Below are 11,020 nucleotides of genomic sequence, written 5' to 3' on the forward strand. Positions count from 1 at the left end.
CTACTCGTGAGGCTGAGGCAGGAGAATCACTTGAACCTGGGAGGCAGAGGTTGCAGTGAGTGGAGATTGCACCACTGCACTCCAGCCTGGGAGACAGAGCAAGACTCTGTCTCAAAAAAAAAAAAGGGGGGGGAGTTTAAAAACATATCAATGGCTGGTCCCAGTGGCTCACGCCTGTAATCCCAGCACTTTGGGAGGCTAAGACAGGCAGAGCACCTGAGGTCAGGAGTTGGAGACCAGCCTGGCCAACATAGTGAAACCCCGTCTCTACTAAAAAATATAAAAATTAGCCAGGCATGGTGACAGGTGCCTGTAATCCCTGCTACTTGGGAGGCTGAGGCAAGATAATCACTTGAACCCAGGAAGCAGAGGTTGCAGTGAGCCGAGATCGTGCCACTGCTCTCCAGCCTGGGTGACGAGAGCGAGACTCCGTCTTAATAAAAATAAAAATAAAAATAAAAACATCAACATCATAGGGTTGATATGAAGATTAAATGAGATAATACATCATATAAAATGTTAAGGACACCGCCCAGCATATAGAAGGTGCTCAATGAATGCTAGGTAGTCCTGGCCCAAGTAGAAACACAGCTCTGACCTTGAATCTTAGACCTGATGGTGAAAGTAGCACAAATTACCTGATGACTACAATTTTTCAACTTTCTTAATAAAGTCTTTCACTTTGCTTTTCTCTGTACTTGTAAGGGGAGCTGCACTTAGATTCTCCAAAGCAGTTGATTTGATCTGGCCCATTTGGTAAGGAATGTCTGACGAAAGTGCACTGTCTGATGCAGTTGTAGTGATTGCTGTAGAAATTGGCTTTAGAATCTTCAGGGACTTCTGCAGTTGAACTGAGAAGACATCCTCATCAAGTACAGTGCTTTGAACACTTCTGGGGACTTTAAGATTCTCCACTACCACTGTTTCTTGAAGACCCTCTTTGTTTTTCAGAAAACTCTCACAGGAGATTAATACTCCACCCCATGGAGTTTTATTATAGACTTTTGGCATCGGGATTTTATTCTCTGAGTCCTTTTTATCCACAGCCATGACGATATGAGACTTTGTTTGTCAGATGACTTCTTTTCCTTTTCTTTGGCTCTTTTGGGGAGTATCTGGCTTCGTGTTATTAAAAGGCAGTGTGGTATAAACATGGCTTCAAATTTTGGCTGTATCATTTACTAGCTGTGTAGTCATGGGAAAACTGTGATGCATCTTTGTGCCTTCATTGTCTCACCCTTGAAACAAGGAAGTTACCTCATCATCTGGAAGGCTATTCATCTTTAAAAACTTTGTAACCTTGGCCAGGCGCGGTGGCTTATGCCTGTAATCCCAGCACTTTTGGAGGCCAAGGCAGGCAGATCACTTGAGGTCAGGAGTTTGAGACCAGCCTGGCCAACATGGTGAAACCCTGTCTCTACTAAAAATACAAAAATTAGACGGGCATGGTGGCACACAACTATAGTCCCAGCTACAGGCTAAGGCATGAGAATCACTTGAACCCAGGAGGCGGAGGTTGCAGTGAGCCGAGATCGCACCACTGCATTCCAGCCTGGGCGATAGAGCGAGACTTCATCTCAAAAAACGAAAAACAAAAAACAACTTTGTAACCTTGGAAAGCAAGTGTCCAACATGAAATGCCCATCTTCTTGTAATAATATGTGGGGTTTTGTCCATTTGTAATTTCTGATGCTGTTTTTATGTTACTGGCCATTGTCATTGAGCAACAAAAATCCTCTACTGCTTTCTGTTGGGTGGCACATATTTTATAACTGATGTATTCTGCCACATAACTGTTTTCTCCTTTTTCTGTGCTTTTGCTTGTTTGTATAAAGGAGGTGCTGTGCTGTTGTACAGTTTTAGAGTCTGTCTGCACTCATGTTTTTCCATCCATCTATAGTACAGCAAGGCCCAGTGCTCTGTCGATTCTTGCTTGCACAGATTCCATTACCCATTCATATTCTTTCACTAAAAGAGGCTTGCTCAAAGAATGCTGCTGGGCAAATGGTATGACAGTCTTAGTAATTTGAAAACTTCCTGCAGTATGTGTTTTCCATTATTGACAATGGTGTTCCAGAAGAATATATGGCAAGAGTTTGGTCAATTTTTTCTGCTCTTTAAGTGTCACCTGTGTGCTAATGAAGCAATTGAGAGTGCTTTGTATGCAGTGGCCAGCACCTTTGCTGGCTCAGGGGTCCTGAACAGGGTACTCCTTTGTGGAGATACTGGTGTTATAGACTCCGCAGCAGCAGGTGCACAGCTGTATGCAGAACACGAGGAAGCTTGCGTGCTTTTTCCTTGTCTTGGGACTCTTCTTTCACGTTTTAAAAATTTCTACATGGCACTGCCCAACTTCAGTTTTCTAAATAGAATTTGGCAATGTGCCTTTCAATCAGCTGTTCAGTGGGTGACTTTCAGCATGCAAAAGTTCCTACCTGAGGGAAGTTGCCATTTTGCAAGACAGAAAGGCAGTAGAAATAAAACTTTCCAATAGGACTGCATCCAGGTTAGCTGGAAACATCTTTCTAGTTATCCAGCCTGTCTTCCTTCCTCCTGAAGTGAGGTAGGAGATTCCGTGACAAAACCTTAGATTATAAGGAATTCATGGTGACAGATTGTGGGAATCATAAAACTGAAAACCAGAATTCAGATGCATTTAAATTCCTGTTTATTAAGAAAGAGGCACACCCCTTTTCCTGCTGCTTTGCAGACTTTATGATGACAGGGAAGGAGGAATTAGGTTTCTATATCTGTTCAGCTTCAAAACTTCTGCGTCTTCCCTAACTCGATCCTGTCCTGGGCCTTTCTCTTTTTTTTGACCAATAAATGCCATATTATTAATCTCTCTAGGAATTGATTTTGATATTGCTGTCATTGTCTACTTCAGGTCCACTCCACTGAGAGACAGTCAGGAGGAGTGTAGCTTTCAATGACAACAGAAGTCAATAAAAGAAAACCCACATCAAAGCAAACACAAATCCTTTATTCTGTCTCTCTAGGAGTCAAAAGTGATCTCTTGTTTGGCAGTTCTACTCTGCTTGTTCTCGAGTTTTAGGAAATGAAAGATATTGGCTATATTAGACAGGTATAGAGGAAAGTCATTCTATTGCATAATAAAGTCACAATATATGAGTCCCTCACTGTAAACCTCTTATCAGCCTATAAAAAATCATAATCTATTGTTTAAATTGTTTTTTAAAGAAAAAGCATATTCTAATATTTACATTTTATCCAAGCCTTTACTTCTTTAATGAGACCAATATACATGAAACAATAAAAAAAATGATAACCCATCAGGAATTGGCTGTTAAGTGCAATAGATTGATGGACGATTAATCAACAAGTGTTTATTGAGCATCTACCACGTTCTCAACTATGCAGGATAAAGCAGAAGACAGGGTCCTGCCCTCAGGTTGCTTATGATCTGTTTGAAGAAGCAAGCTATGATATGAAACATCAGGGCTCATATATTATGAAATATAATGGCATGGTAAACCATGCAGCACAGATGCTGTAGAAGTTTGGAAGAGAGAAACTTCCCTGATGGGTAGAATGGTAGGGATTTTAAGGCTTCAGTGGGGAAGGAGAGGAAAACCGTAAGGAAGAAGAAAAGGTCATGGCAAAAGCATAGGGGGTTCACATCACACAAGCCATGAAAACAGTCAAACTAAACCAGGAGAGGTGATAATCTTAAGTTGGATGGAGAGAGTACCTTAGCAGCTTTAAAAGCCACAGAGTTTCATTTCAAACTATAGACTACAGGGAATCAGTAATAGTTTTTACAAGGGAAGTGGTGTGATGAAAGCAAAGTTTCATGAGGACTAGCCAAGCAGCCACATTTAGGACAGACAGGAGGGGAAGAATGTGGAGTCAGGGAATGCAAGCAAAAATATTCTGTGGCAAAAAGAAGGTGCTTAGAAGCTGAGCTAGGAAGGTAGTGGAAGAAATGGAAATTGAGCAGATGTAACAGACATTGCCAAGGAGAATTGACAATACTTGGTGACTGACTTCATCTAGAATGGGAGGAAGAAGGCTATGTCAAGAAGGACTCCAAAGTTTTTGGTCTTATGATATTCAAGATCATAAGAACCGACAGAGGGAAGATGAATCTGTTTTTATTCCAGTTAGGTTTGAGGTAACAGAGGGACAGCCAAGGAAAATGTTCAGCAGGGTACTAGAAATGCAAAAACCTGAGCTGTAGCTCTGTATAGCTAGGGAAGGATAAATCACTCAGACGTGTCAAGGTAGGGATGAGGAAACTCATACAGCTCTGGAATGCAGGGAGGTGAGGCCATCTTCAAAGGGAGAGTAGCAAAGAGAGAGAGAGATGCTTTGGAATAGCCATTGGGAGAATAATGACTATGGCCCAGCTGATGAAAAGAAAGTGAACGGGCCCAGGTATGCATAGTTCTGTTACTTTCTCCAGCCATGCCTTGCCTTCCCAAGGATAGACAGAGGCATTAGAGTAATAGAGTGGCATTGGCTAGTGAGGAGAATAAGGGGAATCTGGAGGGGTTAAGGGGGTTCCAGGAGGTCCAGGAGAGGATAAAGAGATTATGGCAGAGGGGAGAAAGCAAATTATTATTAGAGATCAGAGCATGCTAAATTGCAAAGGGAGGTGGTGGCCCCTTCATAGCCATGGAGGATGCAGGCAAGGTAGGGAGCCCAGTCATGTGCAGCTGTGTCCCAGAGGACATGTCGGTGGACCAGGGGTAGCACCCTCATCTTGACTCGCTTTGTCTCCCACCCTCCAGGCTTTAGCTGATAGAGCCCTCCAGGGACAGAAGTCCAGCAGCTGGTGGGGGAGCAGATTTTGCTCATTGGAACTTTATCTGGTCCACTTGCACTTTTGGCTCAAAGCTCCTGATTCACTTCAGGGTGGTTTTCTATCATGTAAATGCCATAAACACTAACAGCAAAATAGCCCACTGGCTGCCCCCCTGCTCTCCACACCTGCCAGGACCAGGACCTGCAGCTCCACTTGGAGAGGACAAGGAATAGCCATCAGTCCCTGTAGGGGTGATGGTGGGGTGTCCTCCAAGCCTGAAGGAAAGATGGGGTGTTAGGGAGAGGAAAGATAAGCAAGATGATAGAGGTCCATTTGGCTGCTGGAGAGACCACAGCTGAATATCTTGCTGAGAAGGAGGAGTAAAACCAGGTCATCTCCCTCCCATCTCCATCTGGGTTTGGAATGCACAGAGACACAGGCAAAGGCAGATACACACACACACACACACACACACACACACACACACACACACAAATACACAGAGACACAAAGAGCTACACAAAACAGAGATGCGTACACACAGCTGATCATAGACATTTAGCTTAGACACATGCAAAGGCACACTCAGATGGCGCATTCAGGTGCACAGTGGCACACATACCCCTGCACGTCTGCACAGAGCTCTTTCCTCTCCAAGAGTTTCCTCTCCGTGCAGTACCCTGGTGTGAGTAGAGGCAGGCCCCTTTCTTCCAGGCCTCACCCCTTCCCCTTTGTGTTTTTCCAGGTCGTGACATGGCGAGCACCACTCTGCCTGGTTACCCCCCTCACGTGCCCCCCACTGGCCAGGGAAGCTACCCCACCTCCACCCTGGCAGGAATGGTGCCTGGTAGGTGACAATGCTGCAGCTGCCTAATCTAGGTGGGGGGAACTAAATTGTGGGTGAGCTGCTGAATGGTCTGTAGTCTGAGGCTGGGGTGGGGGGAGACACAACGTCCCCTCCCTGCAAACCACTGCTATTCTGTCCCTCTCTCTCCTTAGAGGCTGCAGTTGGTCCCTCATCCTCCCTCATGAGCAAGCCGGGGAGGAAGCTTGCAGAAGTGCCCCCTTGTGTGCAACCCACTGTATGTCATGGCCCCTCCACAGCGCCCACCCACCCAAGTCTGTGCCCGAGGAGCACTCAGCCTCAGCTCCACCCTCAGTGCCCAGCCCACCCCAGCCAGCTGACACTGCTTGGAAGAGCCTGCCCTGGTTTCCATGGAAACTTGGAGCCAAGAACCATTTCCAGGGGCATGTCAGTCACTCAGACAAAGCCACCCTGGTCCACACCAAGACACAAGGGAAGACCAATGTTGAGAACCAACCCCAACCCCAACCCAGAGACAGTAGGGAGCTAGTCCCTAAGAGGAATGGAGGTCAGGCTGCGGCGGGAAGCAGGGAGAGTCGCTGCAGTGAGACAGGCTAGAACACCCCTATACCTCTTCAGAGGCACCCAGCCTTCCATTGCTTCCCTGGGGCTCTGACCCATCCCTAATCAGAGGAGTTGGGTTTGGGTTGTTTGAATCAGAGAGACAGAGGCTGTATTTAAGGTCTGGTGACTGCAGCTGGAGGTTGTACTATACCTAACCCCTAACCCCAGATTGGGAGCAGGGTCTTGAAGCCAAAGAGAGTTGAAGTTCCTATGTGCACAAACACCAAAACACTCTTGTCTTAAGGAGGGTTAGACTCACTCAGCCAGCAACTCACTCCCTCTGGCCGCCCTCTATGTGGCCTTTCCCTGAAGTTCAACTCTCATTGGTATGGGGAATGGGGAGGATAGAAGAGAGTGGTTGGCCCCATCCATCCAGGGACATTTAGGTATAACCCTGGGTAAGCAGAGCTTGGGGTAGGGGCAGCGGCAAAGAGGGAGATTGCTGCTGGGTCTTATGGACTAGGGGCTGAAGGGAGTTAGAGGTGTGGGTAAAGGGATTCCTGCCCAGATTTAGGGGAAGGAAAGTAGAAGCCTTGTTGGGAGGCAAGGAGATTTTAGGGAGAAACTCCCAGCAGTGAGCAGGTGGGGGCTGGAGGAGGTTTTAAAGAGGTGGGGTGAGGGAAGAGTGGGGAGGTGGGGGCAGGGAGTCTGCAGGGAGGTGGGGAAGAGGGGAGCCGCAGAGAGCTCGTGGTGTCGAGGGGGGAGTCGTTAAACAGAATCTAGTGCTGATGAGGAAATTACACTTGTTTCATTAGCGATGGGGAAGGAGATAGCTCAGTTCCTCTTGGTCACAGTTGAGCTCAGAAGCTCATTATCCTGCTGCACGCATGCTTTCCCTCCTCGTCAATAAACAGGCTTTCCAGTGGCTGCATCCCCCACCCCCACCCCAGCTCCCTCTCAGAGAGGGGCCCCTTCTCCTCTACTTAACCCGCGGTTAGGGATCACTGTAAACAGTCTGGGGTCATCACACAGGAGAAAGGGCGAGGGGGAAACCTGGAGGCCTGGCCTTTCTCCCGCAGAGGGAGGGAGGTAGCTTCCGACGACGGCTCCCAACCCACGGGCCCTCCGCTCACCGCTAGCGGACCAGCGGGCAGTCCACCTGCGCCGCCTCCATCCCCTGCCGCGTAGCCCACGCATCCAACCTCTTGAGGGAAAGGCGGGAGGGCGGTGTCTCCCAAAAGAGCTCCCACCTCTTGTGTTGGCACTGCACATTGATGCCATTCTTAGGACTTTCTGGGAGAAAAATGTCCCGAAGGCCTTTCTTCGCCACCGCCCCCCACTCCCATTTCCACCCATTAGGGGCCATGCCTCCTAGAACCGGAGTGGCATCTATAAAGGCCCTGGCCCCCAGCGCGACAGGGTGGACGCGCCCCAATACAAACCCTTCGTGGGTGGCCGCGAGCGCCTCCGCTGGGAAGCCCTGGGCGGGCACCGGCCCACAGGTCCCGCCCGTGGGTGTGCGAGCGCGTCGGTGCCTCCCGCCTCCCCGGGCTCTCTCCACGCGGACGCGGTGATCGCCCCACCTCCGCCCGGCCCGCCCGCCACGGCCATTACCCTGCCCGCGACACCTGCGCCTGAGACCCGGCGGGAGGAGCGGGCGGAGAAGCCACCGGCCGGACTCGTGGGGTCCGCCCTGGCTTGCAGGCGTCTGATCCCCACTCCCCGACCCTCCCGCAGGGAGCGAGTTCTCCGGCAACCCGTACAGCCACCCCCAGTACACGGCCTACAACGAGGCTTGGAGATTCAGCAACCCCGCCTTACTAAGTGAGTACGCCACCTGGCTGGCCGGCGGCTCAGCGCGGCCGCGCGGCTTCTGGGCACGGTCCCACTCCCGGCGACCCGACCTCTGGGGACCCGGCCGGGCCAGGGGGACAGGCTTGTTAGTGCAGCACTGAGGCCCGGGGACCCCTCGAGGACGCCCGCACCTCCTGCCCTCCCGTGCCCTCCCTGGTCGCTCGAAGGCTCTGCGCCGCCCTCGCCCTCGGATCCCCTGGAGGGTGCGCAGCCGGGCGTCACCAGATCGGGTCCCTCTCATGCCCCGTGAACGCAACTATTCTCCGGGGCAACTGGCTCCACTGCCCAGCCAAGGTCTCCCAGTCCGGATCCCGCTGGACCCCAGCCAGGGGAGGTCTTTTCTGTGCTTTTCTTTCCTTTTTTGTTCTCCTGTTTGTCCTCTCACCCAGCCCATTCTTCTCCTGTGTTAACTTCCAGGTTCCCCTTATTATTATAGTGCCGCCCCCCGGGGCTCCGCCCCTGCCGCTGCTGCCGCTGCCTATGACCGCCACTAGTTACCGCGGGGACCACATCAAGCTTCAGGCCGACAGCTTCGGCCTCCACATCGTCCCCGTCTGACCCCACCCCGGAGGGAGGGAGGACCGACGCGACGCGATGCCTCCCGGCCACCGCCCCAGCCTCACCCCATCCCACGACCCCCGCAACCCTTCACATCACCCCCCTCGAAGGTCGGACAGGACGGGTGGAGCCGTGGGCGGGACCCTCAGGCCCGGGCCCGCCGCCCCCAGCCCCGCCTGCCGCCCCTCCCCGCCTGCCTGGACTGCGCGGCGCCGTGAGGGGGATTCGGCCCAGCTCGTCCCGGCCTCCACCAAGCCAGCCCCGAAGCCCGCCAGCCACCCTGCCGGACTCGGGCGCGACCTGCTGGCGCGCGCCGGATGTTTCTGTGACACACAATCAGCGCGGACCGCAGCGCGGCCCAGCCCCGGGCACCCGCCTCGGACGCTCGGGCGCCAGGAGGCTTCGCTGGAGGGGCTGGGCCAAGGAGATTAAGAAGAAAACGACTTTCTGCAGGAGGAAGAGCCCGCTGCCGAATCCCTGGGAAAAATTCTTTTCCCCCAGTGCCAGCCGGACTGCCCTCGCCTTCCGGGTGTGCCCTGTCCCAGAAGATGGAATGGGGGTGTGGGGGTCCGGCTCTAGGAACGGGCTTTGGGGGCGTCAGGTCTTTCCAAGGTTGGGACCCAAGGATCGGGGGGCCCAGCAGCCCGCACCGATCGAGCCGGACTCTCGGCTCTTCACTGCTCCTCCTGGCCTGCCTAGTTCCCCAGGGCCCGGCACCTCCTGCTGCGAGACCCGGCTCTCAGCCCTGCCTTGCCCCTACCTCAGCGTCTCTTCCACCTGCTGGCCTCCCAGTTTCCCCTCCTGCCAGTCCTTCGCCTGTCCCTTGACGCCCTGCATCCTCCTCCCTGACTCGCAGCCCCATCGGACGCTCTCCCGGGACCGCCGCAGGACCAGTTTCCATAGACTGCGGACTGGGGTCTTCCTCCAGCAGTTACTTGATGCCCCCTCCCCCGACACAGACTCTCAATCTGCCGGTGGTAAGAACCGGTTCTGAGCTGGCGTCTGAGCTGCTGCGGGGTGGAAGTGGGGGGCTGCCCACTCCACTCCTCCCATCCCCTCCCAGCCTCCTCCTCCGGCAGGAACTGAACAGAACCACAAAAAGTCTACATTTATTTAATATGATGGTCTTTGCAAAAAGGAACAAAACAACACAAAAGCCCACCAGGCTGCTGCTTTGTGGAAAGACGGTGTGTGTCGTGTGAAGGCGAAACCCGGTGTACATAACCCCTCCCCCTCCGCCCCGCCCCGCCCGGCCCCGTAGAGTCCCTGTCGCCCGCCGGCCCTGCCTGTAGATACGCCCCGCTGTCTGTGCTGTGAGAGTCGCCGCTCGCTGGGGGGGAAGGGGGGGACACAGCTACACGCCCATTAAAGCACAGCACGTCCTGGGGGAGGGGGGCATTTTTTATGTTACAAAAAAAAATTACGAAAGAAAAGAAATCTCTATGCAAAATGACGAACATGGTCCTGTGGACTCCTCTGGCCTGTTTTGTTGGCTCTTTCTCTGTAATTCCGTGTTTTCGCTTTTTCCTCCCTGCCCCTCTCTCCCTCTGCCCCTCTCTCCTCTCCGCTTCTCTCCCCCTCTGTCTCTGTCTCTCTCCGTCTCTGTCGCTCTTGTCTGTCTGTCTCTGCTCTTTCCTCGGCCTCTCTCCCCAGACCTGGCCCGGCCGCCCTGTCTCCGCAGGCTAGATCCGAGGTGGCAGCTCCAGCCCCCGGGCTCGCCCCCTCGCGGGCGTGCCCCGCGCGCCCCGGGCGGCCGAAGGCCGGGCCGCCCCGTCCCGCCCCGTAGTTGCTCTTTCGGTAGTGGCGATGCGCCCTGCATGTCTCCTCACCCGTGGATCGTGACGACTCGAAATAACAGAAACAAAGTCAATAAAGTGAAAATAAATAAAAATCCTTGAACAAATCCGAAAAGGCTTGGAGTCCTCGCCCAGATCTCTCTCCCCTGCGAGCCCTTTTTATTTGAGAAGGAAAAAGAGAAAAGAGAATCGTTTAAGGGAACCCGGCGCCCAGCCAGGCTCCAGTGGCCCGAACGGGGCGGCGAGGGCGGCGAGGGCGCCGAGGTCCGGCCCATCCCAGTCCTGTGGGGCTGGCCGGGCAGAGACCCCGGACCCAGGCCCAGGCCTAACCTGCTAAATGTCCCCGGACGGTTCTGGTCTCCTCGGCCACTTTCAGTGCGTCGGTTCGTTTTGATTCTTTTTCTTTTGTGCACATAAGAAATAAATAATAATAATAAATAAAGAATAAAATTTTGTATGTCACTCCCCATGGCTCCAAGTTTGTCTCTCCCTGTCTCTGAGATGGGCCTCCCCTCCATTGGTCGATCCCCAAAAGCCCCTTCAATGATCCTCCCAACTACACTCCCGCTGCCACCTCCAACTCCTTTGCCGAGACCCCCTTGGCGGCAGCTGAACCACGGCGAAGGCCGAGACTAGCCTGCCCTTTAGTAGCCACCCTCCCCCACGCACCCCGGC

At 52.7% G+C, this 11,020-nt stretch overlaps 1 protein-coding gene across 6 annotated transcripts in view; it reads left to right on the forward strand.

The window, feature by feature from the left end:
• PAX2 (paired box 2) overlaps nt 1-10,810 on the forward strand; it is a 94,549-nt gene extending 83,739 nt beyond the window's left edge. For 3 of the 6 annotated variants that reach the window (NM_001304569.2, NM_003987.5, NM_000278.5), the window contains 3 exons: nt 5,514-5,615; nt 7,875-7,961; nt 8,409-10,810. In NM_001304569.2, coding sequence (NP_001291498.1) covers nt 5,514-5,615; nt 7,875-7,961; nt 8,409-8,485 — 266 coding nt within the window. In that variant the 3' untranslated portion in view covers nt 8,486-10,810. Of the gene's footprint in view, nt 1-5,513; nt 5,616-5,767; nt 5,851-7,874; nt 7,962-8,408 lie in introns of all 6 variants that reach the window. The other 3 variants (NM_003990.5, NM_003989.5, NM_003988.5) reach the window with 2 other exon arrangements.

Source organism: Homo sapiens, chromosome 10, assembly GCF_000001405.40.
Source record: "Homo sapiens chromosome 10, GRCh38.p14 Primary Assembly".
Lineage (NCBI taxonomy): Eukaryota > Metazoa > Chordata > Mammalia > Primates > Hominidae > Homo > Homo sapiens.